At 36.2% G+C, this 24,052-nt stretch overlaps 1 protein-coding gene and 1 long non-coding RNA gene across 6 annotated transcripts in view; one reads left to right on the plus strand and one right to left on the minus strand.

Moving 5' to 3' along the window:
• The window catches only part of LOC107986626 (uncharacterized), a 97,612-nt gene extending 94,055 nt beyond the window's left edge, over positions 1-3,557 (minus strand). For both annotated transcript variants that reach the window (XR_001744263.2, XR_001744264.2), the window contains exon 1: positions 3,411-3,557. This is a non-coding gene — a long non-coding RNA (uncharacterized LOC107986626). The remainder of the gene's footprint in view (positions 1-3,410) is intronic.
• A 540-nt stretch (positions 3,558-4,097) lies between these two features.
• Positions 4,098-24,052, plus strand: part of FUT9 (fucosyltransferase 9) — a 199,639-nt gene continuing 179,684 nt past the window's right edge. For 2 of the 4 annotated variants that reach the window (XM_047418089.1, XM_047418088.1), the window contains exons 1-2: positions 4,098-4,336; positions 8,958-9,097. The gene's annotated coding sequence lies outside the window, so the exon portion shown is untranslated. The remainder of the gene's footprint in view (positions 4,337-8,957; positions 9,098-24,052) is intronic. The other 2 variants (XM_017010190.2, NM_006581.4) reach the window with 1 other exon arrangement.

The raw sequence follows: 24,052 nt of genomic DNA on the forward strand, positions 1-24,052 counted from the left end.
TACCTTGTAGTTTTCATTTATAAAAGCAATTCCTTCATTGTGCCTTCTTGAAAATTTCTGCTGTAATGTTAGAACAAATTTCTCAACTTCTTCATGACATCATTGCTATGGTGTGTGTTCTTCAACAATTGATATATTTTACTACTCCTTTGGAAGTCTTTTCCTATACTACTTTTGTGTTGACAGTGTGTCCATTCTTTTTTCAATTACTCATATATAACTGAGTTAAATTTTTCTTATGTAGGTTCTTGGGAAAAGGAGAGGAAAATAACTCCTGGGGTTTTCAAAGGGTTTCTCTTCACTGCTGCTACAGAGATAGATTCACTCCTCTGCCTAATTTTTGTGTATCACTCCATTACTTCCTGCAAGACACATCCAAGTGGGCTTCTTTCACTATCCACACTGTAGGAAATTCCAGTTCCTATACTGATTGGTGCAAACAAGAAATAAAGGTTTCGTAAGTGACAGTAAGAACTTACCTTCAGGAATCACATTTTTGTAGGTTTTCTGAGATTAGCCACAACTGAGTCCCCTGCATTTGTCAGGTTTCTTTCTTTCCTCCTTTTGCAGCTATACCCCAACTCTATTTCCTGAATCCATTGTTGTAACCAGTGGAAATTGATTTTGTTCTTCTGAGTGAAAGTCTCACTTTCAAGAAGTTTTTTTTTTTTTTTTTTTTTTTTTTTGGTGTATTCTCAAATTAGGTATCATTGGGCCCACTCTCTGCCCTTCTTTCTTTCACTTCTGAGACTTCTGGTTGATCTCAGCAGTTCTGGGATCTCACATACAAATTTTGGAAACTGCAGATTACCTGTCTTTTGATTTTACTGAAAAAAAGTTGTGAGTGATTTTTTTCCTTTTGATTCTTTGGTACATTCTTTGGGAAGAAAGAAGGAAACCTGCTAATTTTTGCCACTGTCTTCATAATAGATTCAGTCCATGTATTCAGCAGTGCTAATCATATGTATGATATAGTACATATGTAATTTTTAGAAGTGTCTGCAACCTCAGAAACATTTATTATTCTCCATTTTTCTCACTTTGAATAAAAACAGATGCTTATTTTTTAAAGTTAAGGCTCACCAAAATTTTCTCTTGCCTAAAAAGTACCCACTGTATTCTGTTACTACAACAAATGTGACTCTCTTAACTAACCCGTCATTCTCCTCTTTTCTTCAGCAGCTCACATAAGGACTGGTTATAGCAGAGGCTCATAATCTGTCTTTCTTTACTCCTAATCTTTTTAATGCCTATAATTAAATTATTAAATATTTCTTCTTTAAGCTTGAAATTTATCATGATCATCATTATTACTAGAACGTCTTTCTTAGTGATAAAACTTTTTTTATTGTATCACTGGACTCTTAAGCCTCACAAGGGCACAGTTAGCAATTTTCTTAACTGTGATATCCCTGGGGCCTAACATATTGCTGCCTACAGGGAGTGCTAATTGAATATGTGTTCAATAAATAGAGCAATGATATTTCCTTTGCTAACCAATATCTGGCACTCATGCAGTATCAGTTCAAAGACAGGGTTTTGAATCTTTCTGATTTTAGAAAATTTCAGCATGAGAATTTGTTTTCAATTAAATAAGTTCAAAGAGTCAGGGTTTTAAAATTAAGCTTTTATTGTATTAATTGATTAATTTTCCCATGGTGTAATGCATAACATAGTGCAACAGTAATAGAGATGTAGAAGGGGAAAGAAATATAAATGGGTGAGAATGCTGTAGTAAAGGTGACAGAGAAGTTTTCACCCAGCCTCAGAATCTACATTGAAATGCAAGTCCTTCAGCAGGAGAGTTCAATGCCATTCCATTGCTTATCATCCTGTTCTTGTCTCTGGTGGGCCAAGCGGCTGGGGATGTAAGCTGGAGGGAGGAGTTAGAAGCTTGCTTTCTCTACTCCAAACATCACCCCTTTCCTTTGCTTGGCTGTAAGGCATTATAGCTTGCGTATTTGTCTTTGCCACTTTAGAACCATAAAATGAGACTATAAGCTATTGCGTTATAGTTTCATAATTACAGGAGGAAAATAGTAAAAATTCTCAAAGGTAAATTACTTTAATAAGGAAGGGATGAGAAATATTATAAACAGAAATGAGAAAACAGAGATTTAATTAATTCTTGGTAACCATCCTCTGCCCAAGTAGCCGCTGGCATTTGCAAAATTTATTGTTCACCTCTGTAGTATAGGCACCACTGAGAAGACTTAGGGAGCTGAATGAATTGTAAGTCTTTGCCAACCTTTTATTTCTATGGTCTTTATTGAAAGAATAACAGTGGGTGAATTTGCATGGTACACCTCTGGATCTCTGAAGACAGTAACACATGCCTTTTAAAAGGGAGGTGTATTCGAATAATTAGATATTTTTTCCCTAAATAAGGAGGTGGTTCTCTCAGTCAGGTCATTAGGTAAATGTTGAACCAAATATTTTCATTAGCAGATATACTCAACAGGACAGAGTCTAGCAAGTTGATACCGCCCAGCCCATCAAGTAATACTTTATCTCCAACATTGTTTTTTCCTTCATGTGAATGTATACAGGAAAATCTAGAGGTTTTTCATCAATATTTAGGTATGGCCTATTGCATTGAAAATGTTTTTCCACATTGCATTTACAGTCAAGAGAGCACTTTTTAAAATATGAGAACATTTGTTATATAAGACACACTTATGTAAAATGAAATGCCTACCTTATTTATTCTAGAGACTATGATCCTTTAGGCTTTTAAAAAAACGAATCCACCAACTGAAAGATTACTTCATTTTTTTTTAAAGCAACACAACCAGCCAGCCAAACAAAATCAGAATCTCTTTCCCTCCTGGGAATGTCTGGGAATAATTAGCTCACTTTATGTGTTATGTTATTTGAGGAGAGTTTTACCAGACTTTTTTTTCTAGTCATATCTTTTAGACACATAATCTACTTGCTCCCTGTCTATCCCCAATTACCACGTGAAAATTATAAAATAAAATTACGGCTCACAGAAATCAGTTAATAATGTTCCACTTGTTTTTATATTTACTGAATGTGTGTTAACTCACCCTCTGGATCTCGCGCGTGTATCTGCCCTCAGTACAGTATCTATTTGCATGCGCCTCTTTGTAGTTTGCGAATATACAGGATTGATTTAGAGTCAAGTAGAGGAAACGAAAATCCACACTACGAAAGCGGGACCAACCCTAGGAAAATGCAGGGGGAAATGAAAAGCTCTGTGATAAAGAGATTCAGAGATCTTTCAATCCCTAGGTTTTTAGAATGTTGAGAAAAGGGAGGAAGGAAGCCAAGACAGAAGGTAATGGGCTGTCACTATGCCCTTCACACTTACAACCTTCCTAGATCATTGAGAACACGGTCCGAGGCAATTGGGTTAAAACGATATATGTATAAATTTCTTTTTTTACCTCGTTAGCTGGTCAACCCCGGCGGTAAACAACCAAGGCCACCCCTGCCCAGGCAACAGCTCCAAGGGGCAGGCGATGGTTGCCGGCATTGAGCTCCCTGCTGGCGCCTTCTGGCGGGACAGCCAGTGCCAAAGAGCGCCCAGGGAAACAAACACCAATGGGGGACTATACAGATGTCATGGATGCACATGTAGGATCATAATCTGCCCAGAAAGAGGAGAGAAGGAGGGCGACAGGCTGCGGATCCTGGTCCAGGAGCCGCCGCAATGGAGCGGGCGGCAGTGTGCGCGCACAGGTGCCACAGGCCGGTGGCGGGGAGAGCTGTAGAGGCTGCCTCCCGGACTCAGCACTCGCACCAGCGCGCTGAAGCCGCGGCTGCTGCCAAGCTTGGGTAACCCCCAGCCTGAGCCACGAGAGGAAGAGCCCAAGGAAAGGGCGCGAAGGGGGAAGGAGGGTAGGGTAGAAGGAGGGCGGGGGAGAGACCCATCGCCTCATCTTACATTTCCCCTCCCAAGCTCATTTAGTGGGAACCTCTGCTGGGCTCCTGCGCGCCTCCCTCCCCACCCCCTCAACTCTGGGCGACCATCTCCCCCTCTTCCCTTGCTCACCCCCCACCCTTCCTGCTCTTCCGTCCCTCCCTACCGCGTGCCTCCTCCCCTCCCCCTCGCCTCCCTCCCCTCCAGCGGCAGTAGCTGTAGCAGCTTCAGCGAAGCCGGAGATGGGCAGAGAGCGCGCGCGGCGCAGCAGCTCCAGATTCACTGCTCTCCCCTGCAGCTCCCCGCGCCCCCGCCGCTGTCGCTGCCTCGGTGTCCCCCAGCCCCAGTCGCGCTCTTAGGACAGCGCCGCCACCGCCGCCTGGCCCTGCCTGCCTCCTGCGCCGCGCAGCCCTCGCGAGCGCCCCGGATGGCGCTTTACCCCTAGGACCGGTGAGTAGGCGGGAGAGTGCAGGGGGTCGGGCGTCAAAGCTTGGCGCGGAGAGAACATCTTTTGGTTTGGGAGGCACCCCAAACCAGCTGCTGTGATTCCCCGTCCTCCAGGCAGAGGGTCCAGGGAGGGTGTTGCTCTGTGGTCCCCAAGGGGATGTTTGATTTCAACTCCACCTGCTGGCAACCTGAACCCCTCTCCGTCTTGGGGACAGCTGCCTGCAGCTCGCAGTCCCGCCTCACCTTCCAGCCCCCAGGCTCCCACACTAGCAGCAGTAGATGGCCCCGACCCTCTGGTCACCCCAAACAGGGTCATCTCTACTGTTACTGTCCCTGCGTTCCCACCTTATGCCAGTGCACAAACGCCCCTATCTGCCACCCTTCACCCGATCTCGCGCTGACAAAGCCTTCTCCACAAAGTCCTCCCTGACCCACCTTCTCTCCTTTCCCAAAGCCTGGCTCTCGAGCCCGACTGTCCCGTCCTATTCCTTCCCAGGGTGAATGGTCCTTAGTGAATTCTGACCTCATTCCCTCTACACAATGGTGCCTGTCCAGATTTTCTGACAGTCACCTCAGGAAATTGACACAGACACGCTGTGATCCTGGTTTCTGTACAGTTACTTTGTGTGTTACTCAGCACCTGGGCTGTTAAGGGTATTATCAAGCGTGAAAAAATAAAGACAAAAACCAAACCCTTTGGAAACAAACTTTTTGTTATTGTTGTTTTAAAGCGCAGAACTATTTGCATTGCTTAGGTTTGTTCTGTTCATTGAGAGGCGTCTTAGCTGAGTACAGGAAATACACCTATTTTACCTGTTCCTGCGGAATTGGTCTTACTTCCAGGTTAAGAACGGAGGACTTGCCTAGGTGGTGAATCTCTTTCAGCAACAACACTATCAAAAGCTCAGCAACTCTTGAGGATAAGAAGCTTTTTCTTGAAGGAGATGAGAGTAGCACCAAACTTACCCTTTAAAATCTTCTTTGAAATTGCAATAAGCCAAAGCTCTTATTTTTCTTTAGGTGTAGTGGCTAAAAGAGCGATATAGGAGGATTAGAAAACATTGTACCAAGAAGCTCCTGCACTATTTGGGTGCTTCCAGAGTTGTGTAGTATCTTAGCACCAGACGGTATTGCTGTAGAAGTTTTCTTAGAACAGTAGTCGTTTCTTCTGAAACCATGTTTACCGTTTTATTATTTCTAGTTGGAGTGCGAGAAAATAAAGAGTTGTGTTCGATGAATGAATATGAGCAAGGGGGATGGAGTGAACATCGGGAGGGGTCATTTAAATAATAAAATTTGTGCTCTCAATTTCTCATGTATTGAAATCTTAAAAACAAAACTACCCCACAAAATTTATGGTTTAATATTTTAGAGAAATGATGAAAAGGCATTCATTTCAACATGGCATTGTACTCCATGGAACCCTTGGTCACAGGGCTTGTGTTCTAAGCAATACGGATAAGAATATCCAGAAATAAATGTTAGGAACTTTAAAAGGTGCCCCACTGAGGCATGCAGTGTGTCAATATAAATTTCCTGGTATTATTATCACTATAATTTGAGGGGAATATAAATTAAAGTGCCATTCTTGCTCTTGCAGTTGGTGGAGAGAGATGTATGCTTCATCACCTTAAAGGAGCAAGTCTCAGGCTACATAAGAAATAGGAAGGGAAAGTTGAGCCATCATCTAGGGAATTTGTTAGTTAATATTGCCTTAATACCTTCTCCAATGTCAGGAATTTTTGTTGGTTTGTTTTCATTCAAACTGTATCTGAGATTTTATTTCCCTTTTGTGTAAGACATAGGCAGAAATGCACTGAGCAAGTCCACTGACAAGGGGTGGTTTTAAGTAAATGTGGATAGCCGCATTAAAAGTCAAGAGGGGCTGTGAATAATGAGTTTATTGTTGGTTTTCTAAATTTGAAAATTTTAGTTGGTTATATTTAGGGCTTGACTGAGAACATTCAAAGCTGTTCTCATTTGGGTAACATTAGGGTGACTACTATGCACAGTATATCCAACAGTAATTAATCTGTATCAGAATCGATACATCCCAAATTGAAAGCAAGGAGTAATACTTTGATCAGTTATTGCCCATAATTATGTTAATGATAAATTAAAGTCAATGTATTCTAATATAATTCCAATTAACATGAAAATATTAACAAGGTCTCAGAATTATCTATGAGAATCCAAATAACTAGTCTGCCAAAAATTTTGGCAAGAATTTCTATAAAGAATTATGGTGAGCTGAAAGTCAAGAAGATCTGCCAGGATTTAATGTCATTGGCATTAGTAAGAAAGGCTAAACAGTTAAATATAATGTATGGGGAGGTAAGGCACACCAATATTGGAATGGCATATCTTTGAGTACCATTGAACTGTATCTTATAATGCTCATAATTATATGCCACCTAGAGGATGACGGGTTTAAGTATTTGCAATGTTAAATATAAATTAAACATTATAAAGAGATATTTAAAATTATGGAAATTATATAGATTATTCCATCAACAAGTTGCCATTGGTTGAATGTTCCATGTGAAACCATGTTTTGCCTTGTGTGTGATGAAGAGAAAGAATGGTTAAGGAAGAGAAAGCTGCAGGAAGGGAGAGATAGAGAGAAAGGCTTCAACCCCTTGGAGACTGGCTTAAATTCTTTAATCAAATTAAGGTAACTAAATATGAGTTCTATTATTTTGGTATTTAGTTACCTTATTTGATTCTTTAATCAAATAAGGTAACTAAATAAAAGTTCTATTATTTGGTATTATTTTGGTATTTGGAATAGCAATTGTTTTCCCACTTGAATTTTAGGATATGACTCCTTAATTATAGCAATAATAATACAAGTTTTTTAAAATAAAGCCTTTTATTCCTTTTATTTAGTAAAATCTGAGCATCAGAGGCAAACCATTTTGTGTAATCCAATTGATGAATTGAACTAAATAAAATTCTAGACAAATTTACAAAAATACCTTAAAAAAAGCACACATATTTACACCTCACACATACCTAAAATTATAATAATAGATAAAGAGCTAAACAATTTAGTGTCTTATGAAGGCAAGAGGATTCAGTCAAGAGATAACCACATACAATATTTTTATACTCTAATATATATTTCTTGTATTTTCTTTTTCATTGCGGTGGATGTATTATTACGTTTTTATAAGTATTTGCATTTTTATTTATAAATTCATGTCTCTATATTATAAAATGCAAATTTTATAAATTCAAATAACCCCCAAATTACACTTGTAAGTATCAAATTATTACAAAAATGTTCATAATTTTGCTTTCTATCTTGCATTCAGGAGGGAGTATTTAGCAGAACGCATTCTTAGGAGCAAATATGTAAAATGAATATTTCAAAATAAGCATGATGATTCAACCAAAGTTTTACAACAATGCTATAAAGTGATACTCTCATAAACTCTAATGTACAATTAAAATTCCTAACAGAAACATTTAAATTCTGTGATTTTTACCTGTGACTGATTGTGTAAAATTCAATTTTATTAATTTAGCTGCAAATGGAATGCTCGGCATTCTTAATAGAAAGATTCACGGAATTCAGATGTTGATTAGAAATATAGAGAACATTCCATTTCTGTTACTCTACTAATGACTTGCTCAAAGTTTCAAAGTAGTTAATAGAAACAGAATTCAAATCCTGTTCTCCTGATTCCATGCTGTATTTGTCTTTCTATAAAATAAAAACATTTTCCACTTCTTTTATTTTAAGATGTTAATAAAGGAGAAGTCAGTATTAATGTTAAAGAAATCTGAAAATAAAATGAAATAAAAGGTCTGTGCTTCTTCAAGGACCATCTCAATGCCTAGACTTCTAACACACCATAGTTAAAGGTAATCAGTCAACCAGACTTTTTCATTCACTCCCACCTTCAGGTTAAAGCTTGGGAAATATTCAAAAATTAAACTGCAACTAGCCCACCTAAAAATCTTTTAACATTTTTGCATAATTTTTATTAGAAATTCCTCACTTATGCAGTGTAAGGTTTTTCATGTTAATAGCATGTCATGGACACTTCCATATAAGCTTTTATAGACAATTGACTGAAAAATATTCCTAAAATAACAGATTTTAGTTTCTGTAAGCAAAATGCACTTACAGTTTCATCTCCATGCTGATTCAATATTTATGTCATCACAGAGAAGGTTTCGTATCCATATGTTTATTTATTTTTAAATTTTTACCTCCATAGACTGTGAATAACTCAGGTGGTCAGGGAAGGTAAATTTGTTTCACAAAGTTTCAAGCCCACAGATGAAAATCCTGGCACTTTTAGCTTTCTCTTCACTGATAGCCAGAGGGATCAATGGAAGTGAATGACTAAATCAATAGGAAACCATCATCATTACTGCGTAAAAAAATAAGCTCTAAACTGTATTCTTGGTTATGGTGGCTCATCACCATCATTTCATCTAGGAAGAATAACATGGTGACATATTTTGATATCTCCATTACATTTTCTGGAACAACACTATATTATCTAAACGTGCTTGGACTGATGTAAACTAGGGGAACCAGTGATCTTGCACTGCTGGGTGGCTGATTCAAAAGCTGAGGCATTGATCTTAGGCATTGGTCTTCTTATAGCACATCAAGATGCAAATTTGGATGAGAGGAAAACTACACTTCTAAGGCTCCCCTGACATAGTTTCTTTGGAGTGCAATTCAGCCTCTCTTTATTGAGGGCCTATGGGGCAAGAACTGAAGTGATGATGGCAGGCACAAGAGTAAGTATGATTTAAGCTCTGACCTCAAGCAGCTTAGAGTTTAAGTGGAGAAGCCAGTAAGAACAAATAGAAAGGAGTGATGAGACACCAGCTGCTTTAACCTAGGGATGTCACCTTGGTATTAAACAAGGGTGTCCAGGAAAAACTCAAAAAGACCAAAAAAGAAAATCTGTTTTGTGTAACATGGATCTAGGCATGCTGTGGCTAAGGCTTGACAACAAAAATTATTTAGTTCCTTAAAAAAAGCAAGTTTCCATTGCTTTCTATACTAATTTTAACTCTGACAGAGTTTTTTGTTGTTGTTGTTGTTGTTTTGTTTTTTTTGGACAATGCAGGAACCTATTAGTAGTATGAACACAGGTAGTCCCAAACTAACAAATTCAGTGGTTGATTCAGTCCTTGGAGGTCATAGGGTAATCTTTTAATGGAAATGTAACTAAGTATATACTTTTAAAGTAAGTAGGAAATGCTTACCTTTTAAGAAACTTAAATCTTCAAGGAATATTCACAGAGAAGTACAAGCGGAGGATGCAGGGAAGGAGGTTATGAACAATATGTGTAATAGCTATCCTATAATCAAAAGTTTAAAAACCACTTTAGTAAGTTAGACAACCTTAAAAGGTATTTGTAATTATCTATGTTTTATTTACTCTGATGAATGTTTATTGAACAGTTGCAATTCAGTGATAGAAAAGGAAGATGACATATAGTTGGGATGATAAAATATAGACTCATTAAGTAATTTGGGAGAAGTATATGGCAGCATTTAAATAATACGTATTACATGTCATCTGACCTAGAACACGGACTGGACAATTACTTTTATAGCCAGGTAAAGTTTATAATATATATGTTATTGAAAAAAATAATGGCTCCAAACAGCTTCTGAAGGTACCTGAATTATACTATAGTAGGAATAGCTTACGCCCATGAAGGATCTGGTTAATTTATGTTCAATATTGGTTTACCAAGAGAAAAAAATAAGGTCTTCAATTTTTACATGAGAGGGAAAAATATACCTCCTAACTTGTTGACTGTTTTATGAATACTTTACAACTTTATGTTTTCATGACATTCGTTGTGTGAAGAAAGTGTCTGAGTTACATGGGTAATATGATTAGAGAGCTTCAAGGAAAAATGGGGAAATCTTTGACATGAGATGAGCTACAAGACATAGGTGTTAGTGATAACGATGTTTCACTGCCCTGACCTGTAGAGAGCCAACTGAGCTATTTCACTAGTCAATTCCTGCTGACTTTCAAGGGTCCTAAAAGGTCTGAGACTAATTTAACCCACTAAGTTAAGTATGAGTGACTGGTTGTACTCCTTGTTTTGAAGAGGCTGCATGAAGGCAGTCAATCCAACTTGTCCTATTTGTCTTCACCAACAGCTTAATTGTGTTTGTCTGTCTGCACTGAATGGTTAAGCAAGAGTTACAGAAATGGGAGTGGGAAAGACATCTGGAGGTGTTGACAGGTATTGCATGGGAAATGCAGAAACTGAGACCATCTCCTGATATTTCCAGTAGTTTTTTTGCTTTTGTTAAGGTGAATATAGATCAAATCATGGTCAGAGCTTTCTGGTGTGGGATGGCAGATCTGGCAGAGAGTTAAATTTAAGGCACTTGCAACAGTTGAATGAGCCACTTTTTCATGTAAAGGTGAGATGGCACTGGAGAGCTGGGCAAGCTACAAGCTGGAATATACTCTTTCTATTTTATAAGCGAGGTTCATAGGACCCCTTTTTACCTTTGTTCGTCATTGAATCTGAGTTGGTACACCCCAAAATGAAATAGTATGCCAGACAGTCATAAGGTCTTCAGGATCAGGAGTTCAGTTTTGACAAGAGCCCAGTAGCAAGCTAATAGCTGCTTTTCAAATGAGGTGTACCTGGTACGTGTATATCCTGTATGTTAAGGAGGTGATCTGTCCAAAATCCCAAAGGGCTCCTGTGAATGGAAGCTGCTTACGTTTTCCTGGGGCTCCAATTAGAAAAATCATTAGTCACAGAAACTGGTAGCTCACAGGTTAATTAGGGATGTGGGACCCCAAATATAGAGAGAAGGCCACAGCCTACTAACACAGTGTGTTGGTTTCTGCTTCATTCAAAAGATGCTGATATTTTGGACCAGCTAATATAGAAGTCCAAGTAGAATTTCCAAGTGAGGAACACACCATCTCCAATGCCCAAATGTCCCAATAAGGTGCTGAACATTGTTTTTGTTTGTTGGGGATGAAGAGACAGCAGTTTTTCTTTGACTACCAGAAGGATTAAACATTGTGAATCTGCTCATTTAGTCCCAAGAAACTTTATTTGACAATCAGAACCCTGAATTTTGTCAGAATTTATCAGCTGCCGTGGTTGATAGAAGTGTGATAACACCACAGTCAATTTCCATTGCAATGGAAGCTTCTAACTGGCTGATTAACAGGACATCATCTGTATAGTGAAAGCTTTGCACCATGGAGAGTAGGGACACTTATGCTGACTTATGTACTACTGATGGCAAATGGCAGAGGAATGTTGGTACCCCTGGGAGTAACCTGTAGTAATGTGGGAGGTTACTACAAATGTATATTGGTGGCTATGTTGTGACTTGATCTTTGTCCTCAGAAGCCAGTGGTATAGAAAAGCTGGTACTGGCACAGTCCAAGACAGGATACCAAGAGTTTAATCTGTGCAATGGATTCAGTTACATGAATAGTTGGGATTATGGGATTAACAACTTGATTCAGTTGGTGATAATCCATTCCAAGCTTCTAGCTCTCATTACACTGTTTCACTGGTCATACAGTGCTGTTGTATTAAAACACTGCATCTCTTAGCACCCATGTTCCCTTCAAGTCTGTAATCAAGGCTGTGATTTTCTTTCCTCTTTTTCTTCTTATTGTTTTTGTTGGACCATCTGGGAGGAAATAGAGAACAAGACCAGAAAGTGATTTATGTGTCCCTTTAGCACTTCACTACATTTGGCCTTTCCCAATTGTGATAATCTCCCCAGGCACTTAACTGATGATGAAGTATAAGCACTTAATATATTAATTACTATACAATCGGATATAGAAAATACAACAGTACATGGAATTGGCCCAAAGGGCTCCATTCATGAGATGATGTTAACTTGCCTTTCTCACTGTGAACACTGCTTAAACTCCATTAGCTAAATCAGACAATCTTTTCTTTCTATAAATCCAGTTAAAAACATGACTTAGGTGTCCACATCCCAATATCCTAAAAGTCTGATTCCCTTATTTTCCTGAAATTCCCCAACATTCTTGGATAGGTGCATATGTCATTTGATACCCATTGGGAATAGAGATACCCTGACTTCTAGTAATATTTCTCTTTAAATAAGCTGAGATTATGGGAGAAGGGGACAGAAGAATCAGAGGGTAAGGGAGGAGAGAGACTTCATATGTATTATCCCAGTTTCAATGATATTGCAGTGGCTCATGGCATAACCAAATTAACTTAGAATATTGTTGTCCAGCCAATACTCTATATTGGGAGCAGGACTCCTGTGGCTGGCACCATCTATTTCATCCTTGGGGATCCTTTGACTCAGTAGCCACAGATACATTGCTGTTTTTCTAGGGTATGGGGTTTGTGACCTCTGGCTGACTCAGTCTTGGCTCACACAATGGTGACTTTAAGGCATCCACCTTAATTTGGGGCATTAGCTGCCGCAATATCTTATATCTCTTAAGTTCTCCCAGTTTCAGCATCAAGGATAGGGAAGTTTCTCTGCACAGTGTTGATAACCTCAAGAATTTACCTAGGTTTCTTTGGGTCTCTTTCTCAATTTTCTAGTGGGTCAATTTTATCAGAATTCTAGACTCAATCCAGGCCATTAAGAGCCCAAATACTAGTCAATGCCTCATCTGTGGTTTTCCACAGGAGTTTTTCTGTCTCAGAAAAATCTCCTCAAGAGGAGTAAAGCTTCCTTATAGCAGCAAAGTCCCACTGCAAAAACCTTTGATAGATTTTCTCATTACTTCCAAGTGGATCTAAGGTTGGCACGAAGGCGAGATTTAGCTGTAAGTCAACACAGCATTTGCCATGATTCCTTGAGAAGCAGTATGATCCATAACCCCCTCCTTTCCATTGTGAGCCAAAATTCTAATGATTCACCTGGTTTCTGGCTACAGATTTCCCTTTTCACACTCAATATATGTACACATTACTCTTTACTATTGTCTGAAAGAGGGTAGAAGCTTCTGCCTACCCAGTGCAAATCTTAGTATTAGTTGTTACAGTGCTGCAGGTCTGAGACTGGACTCGATTCCAGTCTGGAATTCTCAGACAAGGAACTCGTTCCATTTAGAGGAAAATTCTGGCATCTGTATTTTACCTATTTTTGTTATTTAGCTTGCAATGACCTCCTTGATTCCTCCTCATTAAAAGGCAAAGAAGTGAAGGACTGTCTATCGCCCAGTGGCCCATATAATTTGCAAACATCTTTGTTACTGATTCTTACAGACTTCTCTCAAATATTTATCTTCCTGAAATTTTTCAACATTCTTGGATGAGTGTGTATATCCTTTGATACTTATTGGGGATATGGACCCTTAGTTATGTTTCTGTGTAAATAAGCGAGGTCGTGGTACAGGGACAGAGAGGAATCAGAGAGCAGGGAAGGAGAGAGACTTCATATGTACTATAAGTTTCAAGTGATGTGGTGGTGGTTCATGGCATAACCCAATTAACTTGGAATATTTAATAGGCCTGCAGGGCTCTCATCTTTTCTCTTCCAGAAAGCCATGACTTTGTCAGCATCCCATCCTCATCACTAACATTATAAAAATCTCTGAAGGGTCTGAGATTTTTCTCTGCTCACAACTTAACATGAAAGTCTGCCACAGTTGAATGGATGCTGGTAGAAAACAATAGACTCCTAGGTCAGAGATGAAGGACAATTTATTTTTCACAGCAATAGCAGTAGCAAAAATATCAACATTTTGGTCCTGTTCCCTGGGTCCCAATTTCCACAAGGCAACATGAAGTATACACATTACAAACAAAAAGGCCCTCAATTTAAGGAATGTCACCCCTTTATAATGGGCAGTGAACATGCCTCTCTTTGTTCCAGAAGATACTATTTCTATCCAAGGCTGTCTGCTTTACAAACATGTTCTTAAAACAGTTCAAAACAAAAGCAGTCAATGATTCTTTCATAAGATGTGCAAAATGTGAAAGACCCATGGAAAATTGTCTCCCAGTAGTGACAAAAGACTTCAATAAGTGACTGTTTGGATAGGCTTCTTATCTGTGGTATGATATATGTTCATCCTTGCTATTTCCTACTGATGGAATGCATTAAACTTTTGTTATCTGAGATTGATGAACCTTTCACTAAGATAGAAAATAAGAAGGAAGCTTTTGGAACAAATATATTGTATTTAAGCTGCAATATTAGAGTCTAAATTAGTAATTTCTGACTATAATCTATATAGATTACAGCATAGGGCGTGTTAAAGAATTGGGAATTTCTATGTCAGGAAGTAAAAATGTGAGCCTAAACCACAAAATATATTAAGCATATACTTTGTGTAATTATAATGTATTGTAAATCAAAATCATTAAGCAAAAATGTGTTATTACATATTTCCCATGGCCATAATATTTCTCCAATGCTTTATAGTTTGAAGGGTGTCCAAATTTTCCTAAATAATCAAAAGAAAAAGGTGCAATGCTGCTTTAATATGTTTAATTTTTTCAAGACTGAGCATAATTGTCATCTTCTCTAATAGGCATCTCCTATACACTAGGCTTGGACACATGCCTTTCTTTGTATTAACACAATGGCAGGTTTATTTGTACCATTTTATGCCTTTACAACATCATATTGGCCTTATATATTTATGTTTCCCTGACTGGATTACTCTGAAATTAAAACTTGTTGCTTATTACTCTTCGTACTCCTAGTGCCTACCTCCCCAACTGAAGCATGGTGAGTATCCAATAAATGCTAGTAGAGATGAACTGAAAGTAACAGTGTCTGTTAATGTTGAATTTACTTTCAGATATTCCAGACAATTATGTCCCATGATGAATAACTGAATGGAAGATGTATAGCTGAAATAATTTATAAAATTTCTTAATGACCATTGTTTTACTTATAGTCATGTAAATATTCATATCCTGATACTCATTCCCAGTTTTGAGACATCCTGAAACATTTCAAATTTTGCATTTATAGTGAAACTTTAAGATTTTATATCGCTTTTATACTTTTAGACATTGAAGAGAGCCTCACAAAATTAAATGTAAGACTTTGGTTAATTATCAAAAGGTTTGGAGTCACTGATTTATATTATACAGAATTTACTTCTATTCTAACCCTGCATTAGAAATTTCAAAGCATCTCGCCTTTCTTCTTTTTCAAAGAGGTAGACTGAAGATGAATACATGTCCCTTTCTCTGCCCTGATGCACAGATGTTCTTTCTTTATTTCTTTGTCATAGTTTTTTTCTCTCTCTCTTGCGTTCAGATAGATGTCTGCTGCTCATATCTACCTTTGCGGTTTCTGTCACCACCCCACCTAATCATTATTGTTGTTATCGCCAGTGCTGCCAACCCTGAAATCTGGTGTACTTCTCCCCTTCCTCTTTTCTCAAATTTTCCAATTTCTTCTGACTCTTATTGCTTACTCATATTCTAAAAACAACAAAAACATCAACAAAAGGACTGTCTCTAAGGGACAGCTGCCCTTTCCTTCTGTGCAGTGAACTTGAAGGATCAGATAAAGTGATGGGTTCTCTGGCTTTTATTCTTTATTTGTTGGTTATTCAAGGGCTGGCTGTGTCTTCACTTCACTTCAAGGGCTGTATTTTTCTGCTTTTTTTCCAGAGCCATTTTGGAAATTTAAGAATTCTAAATTCTTGGATTTTCATTAGCCAATGTTTTGCTGTTTTCTTCATAAAAAAACAGGTTTTTGTAATTTTTTTGTCCCTACATTGCCTTGTTATTTAATAGCAACATTAACATGTGAATACCTTAGAACTTATAAAATATGTGTGTCATTTCAAGGAATAAAAAGGTTGGAGTGAATCAAACACAAGACAGATATGTTTTTATGGGAAGAATGGAAGGTCAAGAAATGACTGGCTTGCTTGGAGTATGCCAGTGGCAATCTTGTGCAGAAGAAAAGAGGAAGATATCAAACAACAGAAAAACAAAGAAATTCTGTAGAGAGAAGAAGGGGCAAAGTAGAAGTTCTAGAAAAATAGAGACAAATATTTACCTATATTATAATAGGGCTTCATGGAAACACTGCGTTACATGGAAAAAAAAACACAGAGCTGTAACCAGATATAACTGGGTTCAAATTCTTACCTGTTTATTGAGTTAACTGTTCGACTGGTACAAAATCACTGTGGTTTTGGCCAGTATTTTTAATGGCAAAGGAATGCTTAATTAAACATTGAGTAATGTTTAATGTTTTTAATTAAACAAAGACTTAATATCAACTATTTAGCTGAGAGATTAAAGTCAAATTTCTTAGTATATCTGAGACTCTTTTTCCTATTACATAAAAATTTTGCTTAATTATTTTGAATATGGAATTGGATAATATGTAGAAATCTTTGAAACACTGACTGGCACTGTAAATTCTAATTCAATAAATGTTACATCTTCTCCATACTTAAGAATTTAAGAAGACATAATCATTTCAGTTTGTAACAAATAAAATGAGCCTATTTCCCAAATAGACAATTAGCAAGTGACAATTGGATAATCCAATTCGATAATCAGCAACTAGGAGAACTTTGGAACTTTCAGAATATTATATAATAATGCAGGAAGAAGCATATAATGAGCACGGAAGAGCTAATTAGAATCATACTTTCCATGATAATATGAAGTAATCACTTAGAAAAGAAGTTATCTATTTTAATAATTATTCAGTCACAGTGGTATAAAATTTTTTCCACAAGAATTAAAACTCATGAACAGGAGGAGTTCTTCTTTTAACCAGGATGAACAAAACTGGAAAGACTATCAATCCCACCATCACAAAACAAAGCCAGAGGAACTACAAAACCATAACTTTTGTTAAACCTGTTGTAAAACCGAGTTCACCAGGCAAACAAATATCTAGGTTTTCAGGAAATGATAGGTTCCTCCACTGAGAAACGAGTCATGGGGATAGTGTCATATGTGGCAGAGAATAGAATAGGACCTGGCTGTCATACAAGCGATGATAGAAATTATTATTATCTAAATTATCTAACAAGAAATTCTGTAAAAAGCTAAAATCATTACAAATTGCCAAAGACTGACTGACAGTTTAGAAACTCTGGTAATCCCTGACGCAAGGGTAGTTTGATGTCACCCATTGGGGCTTATATGTGGACTTCCACTAGGTACGTATGAGAAATATTGGAAGCAGGGTGGGGACAGGAGGGAGCCTCTTGGTAATACAGGTGCAGAGTAAGGGATTGGCTGCCACTTCAGATAAAGCACAAAATCCCAGTCTATTCAAGCTCGCATCCCACATCCTAAGCACAAGGCTAGAGGAATGTGAAGTCTTTGGCATCCTGAAGATCAACTCTTGACTAGAGTAACTCAATGCCCCAAACGAATGGCTTCAGAATAGCAAAAGTACACTCTGTTTCTAGGTATAAATGATTGGCATCATTCCCAATTATTTTGCACTTGATATTTGACATTTAATTGACAAATTATAAGATATACAAAAATTTAAAGAAAGAAAAACGATTGTCAAAAGAAGTCAAGCAATGAACAAAACCAGACTTAGGGATGATCCAGGAGTTGAAATTATCAAACAGGGACTATGACTAATGTATTAAAGAACCTAATAGGAAAAAGTGGACAATCTGCATGAAAGGATGGAGAATTATGGCATAAAAATTGAAAGAGCAGGAAAGAGCAAAATGAAGGTGAGAAGTGAAAGGAAATATTATCACAGATCACAAATTCTGCAATAAGTGGATAAATTTACCAACAACAATCCCAAATATGGTGCAGCTAAGAACAGAGTTTCAGAATCCAAGAAGCGAAATTGATCAAACTGAAAGGATAAAAAGATAAATCCACAACTATGGGTTTTTCTGATGACCAGAACTCCTCTGTCTGTAGTTGATAGAATGAGTCGAAATCAGTAACTATATAGAAGGCCTGAACAACATCCTCAAACAGTTTGACATAAATGATAATTATAGAATACTCCACCCAATAACAGCAGAACATGGAAGAAAATACTTACAAAATACACATCATAAAGGACTGATATGCAGGATATATAAAGAATTCTCACAATTCAATGATCAAAACCATATAACCCAATAAAACAAGTTGCAAAATATTTGAACAGACATTTTAACAATGGAGATACATGGTAGGCAAAAAAAGTAGTGAAAAGATGTTCAACACTGGTAATTACTAAGAAAATTAAAAAAATTAAAATCAGAGTAAGATATCACTGTAGACCTATTAGAGCAAAATGAAAACAGAACAAACAAACAAAATCATGACCTTACCAAGTCCGAGTGAAAATGTGGAGCAGTTGGAACACTGGTACATTGCTGGAAGGGATGCAAAATAGTACTGCAATTTTGGAAACTGTTTAATAGTTCCTTATAAAGTTAAAAATACAAATATCATATGACCCAGCAATACAATTTCTAGGTATTTACTCAAGTAGAATGAACATGTGTTTCTACATACAAAGTTATAATGAATATTTAAGTGTGAATGAATACCCATACTTGCCAAAAACTAGAAACAACCTAAGTGTCCATCAACTGCTGAATAAGTAACAAACTGGTATATTCATACAATGACATACTACTTAGCAATAAAAAGGATTGAACTACTGCCCAGTGAAAAAATACACTCAAAAGGCTACATGCTGCACAATTACATTTATACAACATTAAAAAAATAAAAACGTAGGAACAGAAAACATATCAGTGGTTTCGAAGGGTTAGGGTGGGAAGTTGAGGCTGATTTTAAAATGACAAGAAGTAAGATTTTGGAGGTGATGGAACTGTGCTATATCTGGATATACACTGGTGGTTTGTAGGCCTTTGTCAAAATTCATAGAACTTGCCACTTTAAAAAGATTAATAATCTGTTTGCAAATCATATTTCAGTAAACCTGATTTTTAAAAAATCATGATTGGAAGAATGAGAGAAGTCCCATTAGGTAGGTCTACATGTTAGGCACTTTCTAACAGTGCCTAGAGATGGTTATTTCACATATTTTTAATTCCTTGCAATTTGAACATTTGAGTGTATGTGTGTAAACAACCTAATTTTGGTAAATAACATTTTGCATTATTCCAAAGTATTGACACACATCTATATTAATGAAATCTTTATTAAATCCAATCATCTTAATCTAAACTTAACCTTGAAGAGTTATTGGGAAAGGATTTTGAGACAGATTAGTAGATAAAAAAAACTATAATTTAGAGAGGTTGCATGGTTTGCTGGTGCTATTAAGCATTGTAGTCAGACTAGTAAACATATACTGGGATAACTTACCTTTAAGTAGAGTTAGGGTGACTGCCCCCCAAGATCACGGCCCAGTGTAGCAAACTGGTCTAGTAAAAGATTATCTGCCCACAACTGGACAGTAATTACTTAACAAATAGTGTATCCTTCAATAGAGCAACAGAATATTTATTCCCTAGCAATTTATAAGGAAGTATACCTTTGACCTGCTCCATCTACTAGTCATCAAAAACTTAGTTATATTGATTAGTACATTTTGAAGAATTGACTATTGCTCTAAGGAAATTGGCCCCAAATTTAAATACTTTACTTCTACTTTTAAGTCTTTTTAAATATATTTTTCCTAGTAATTTATTTCTCAGTATATTTTACAAAATTCTTGATGGAGAAGAATTTTAAAACAAAACTAGTACTTTACTTCAATTGGTTTGAGAAACACTCATTCCCAGGCATTCAAACTAACTAAATAAAAATGACAACTGAAAGATCTGTAGCCAATGTGGCCTATGGCTTTCCAGTTTGCAGTTCTTCCTTTAAATATTCTAAACTTGAGACCTGTGTACCAAGACTGCATTATTCTCACCTTTTGCAGAACTGATGTACCTATGTTATGTTTTCAGTTTACATTGAGCTCTGTGGAACATATTGTTACATTTAAAATAGGACTTTTAAAAAAAATCCAGTTTATTACATAATACAGAGTCCTTTTATGATAATCTACAGGAGAAATGTTTCTCACACTTTGTTTCCCGGAGGAGTCGTACTTATTTTGTTACTGATTTTATTGAATGAGCCTCTTTTTAATGGCTGCTAGGAAGCTCAGTGTCAACTTTCTATCCCTAATGACTATGGAGAGACTATGATATGCCTTTTTAAATTAAGTGACTTAATTTATGAATGTTGTTGTTTAATTTTATGTTTCCAACCTTATTCAGTCAGTAATTTTTTTCGCATAATACATGTTAACTTTTAATAAAGTAAAGGACACTAGAAAGAAAGACAAGTAGTAAGGAAAGAAAAGAAAGGAAGGATTACTCAAATATGCTTGTATACTACATATTAAATATCTGAGTAACTCTAGAGTACATTACTTCTTTAAATTTTACTCTCCTAGATACCTAGTTGAAAAATATTCTTTGAAAATATAACTTTGAAAATTTTAATGTTAAGAATACCTGCAGTAGGGGGAAATTTAATACTATTGTCTTTACGTGAAAGTAGGCAGTAAAATTCACCCATATTTCCTTTTCAGAACTCCCTGTTCTTAACCAGGTTATGTAAACTGGGAGTCCCTTCATTATTATCTCTATCCATGTGGTCTCACAGTGTTTCAGGCTCCTGATTTAAGCCTGGCCCTGTCTATAGGCAGGCTGTGTAACCAGAGAGATAACAGCATCCTACTGAGATAATATGCTTTTATTCCTAATGGCAACCTGAGGAGTAGAGGAACAGTACGTGTTATTAGAGCAATTGTAAGAAAACTTCAGGCCAGATTTGCATCCTGTTCAACTCGGCATGACGGTTTTTGACGGTTTTTTGATTCCCGGAAAGAAGTTCCTAGGCTGCTAACCAGGAAAACAATCCACGCTATTAAGAACAACTACATGTGGTTTCCAGCTCTCTACAATGAGAGTTGAAATTCTGTATAATTAATTACACCTTATGCAGATAAAAAGAAAGGAAGCGTAAAAGCAAACCACTCTGCTAGTGAAAGTATGAAAAAATATTAAAAGCTTATTTGTTATCAGTAGTTTCATAACCACTGCCAAGCTTTGTTCTAAGATTTTGAATATATTGGATTGACTTTCACTGAATAAAGAGTAATTGTAATACTTTTCAGCTTGTGAGACCTTACATCTAAGTCTCACTGAGAACTTTTTGATCACTAATTAAAGCTGCTAAACAGTTAGTGTACTTCTATTGAATAGAAGCATTTTCATGATTGATGAGACAGAGCCACCATTAAAATGGGGTACAGCAATCCACAGATAGAATAAAATTACTTATAAAGGGAAATGACTCCACATTCAATTGAAACAGCAGGTCCAGAAAACATGTAAGAAACAATTAATTATATAGGCTGAAAATTGTCCAAATCCCTGGAAAACTGTCCAAGGTCAGTTTCCCTTCACCCTAAAATTATTTTCCTGAGGCACATAAAAATTTTATTGACATAGACCAGTTGTATAAATAGCACAGAATATGTTAGACAGCTAATTTTTTCAAACTAAACAATTATATAGACAAGCTGTCTTCTTTCATAAATTTGTCTTCTGATATACCAAAATATAAATATTCATACACACTCAAATTCAAACACATATTTGTTCTTATGTACATACAAATACAAATTAGCAAATATGTAAACACACATACAAATACACTCACACACAAATGCACATATACATATATATGCTTACATATAAATACACACATTCATAAATATATACACAAATACACACACACACATATTCATCCTAAACTTACTTAAACACCCTAAATTAAGAAAAAAACCCTCCAAAATTTAAAAAAAGGCATAAAGACATTTAACTTAGGAAGGGAAACCATAGGACAAACAAGAAGACAGAAAATATAAGCCCTATACAGTGCTGGATAAGCAGGGTCAAACTGACTTCCCATTGGTAGCACTTTTTCAGTATTCTCTTCTTATTTCCATCTTAGTTCTTGATCTTCATATCTTTTGGCTCATTCCTCCAGCACATCACCCTTCTGATGAAGCAGGCACAGAAGCAGAGGCAACCTCTGTACCAACTTGGGAAGAGGTAGAGCTACATCATCATTAGAAGGAGTAGAGGAGCATTTTATCATTATAACTATTACTGAAAGATAATTGCCTATGAGGTTATGGTTAAGCACTGTAACCCTATTACCTACTTATACTGTCCCTGTTTTATTTAGAATTATATCCAATAACCAATATGAAATCAAACTGGCGGAGAAAAAAAAAGCAGAAAAAATAAACAATAAAGCAATACCAAAATGGACCATAAAGTATAATTCATGTAAGGAGCAGTACATGTTCTTACATTATTTTTTAAATTATTGTCTTTATTTAACAATTTCTATTGAACTAGTGTGTAAATATTTCAGTGCAAGATAAATGCCCTAGATTAGGAAATGAATCAATCAGCATGAATCCATTTGAGAAGCAACGGAACAGAATGGTTCTTTATCACACACTTACTACAATAAGGGCAATTTAAATATGTGCTTAGAAGACCACCACCTACATCCTTATACCCTAAATTATGCCTCTCCAGACCCCAAACTTATCCCTGCAAGACCCCAGAGGGCTTGTTTAACAGGTGCAAAGAATGCTACCAAAGTTCTTAACTGGAGGTGAAAAAAGGAAATTAGCCATGATTTCTCTTGTTTTTCAACTTTTAACTTTGTAAGAAAGATCAGTTTTGGAACAATGGCCTATTACAAAGCAGAAGCATGAGAATAGTGGTTTGGGAACTACAAGGTATCAGTTGTTTGGATAAGAGGAGATAAGCAAATGATTTAAATAAGAGAACATAGGCAAATTAGCTACAATTTTCTAAAAGCTCTGATAAAAGAGGGACAAAAAGTCATCAATTCAATTAATTCACTTAAGGTCATGAAGTTACTAAAGAGAAGAAATCTTTATTAGAAAAAATGATATAATTACCTTCTGTAATAGATTATGTCCTCTCCATAAAACCAAAATGCACTATTACACATATGAGGAGAGGGAGGGAGGGAAAGAGGAAATGAGGAAAAAAGAGAGATGAAGAGAGAAGGACAAAGTCAGAGAGAGAGAAGAGATCCTATTTATTCTGGGAGCATTACTGAATTACTATTATTGGTATGACAAAAAAGTGCATAAATGCATTGAAAACAAATTATTTACTCCCCTGTTTCTTTTCTTGGAACAGTAAATGTCACTCTATATTTAGACTTGAATTTCACACTCTTCATCTCATCTTCCTTTGCCACCCATAACCTTATTTTCTCTTATATCTTATTCAATTTCCTTTTATCTCTTAATACATGCATACAACACATTTAATTTCTTCCATTTTTAAGAGGTAAGTTTGGAAATATTGGCCCATAGTTTTGAAGATCAATGTAATATTTACCCAGGAGAACTTCAAAAGATATCTTAATTTTAATATTATAATTAAAATATAATAAAATATTATATTTATTATACTAATATAATATTATATTAAAATATAATATTATATTTATTATACTAATAAATATAATTTATTATACTAATAAATATAACATATTTATTATACTAATATAATATAATATTATAATTAAAATATAATATAATTTATTTATTATACTAATATAATATAATACATATAATATATTATATGTATTATATTAATATAATATATTATGTTTATTATATTAATATAATATAATACATTATGTTTATTATATTAATATAATATAATACATTATGTTTATTATATT

Source organism: Homo sapiens, chromosome 6 (assembly GCF_000001405.40).
Source record: "Homo sapiens chromosome 6, GRCh38.p14 Primary Assembly".
NCBI classification, from domain to species: Eukaryota; Metazoa; Chordata; class Mammalia; order Primates; family Hominidae; genus Homo; species Homo sapiens.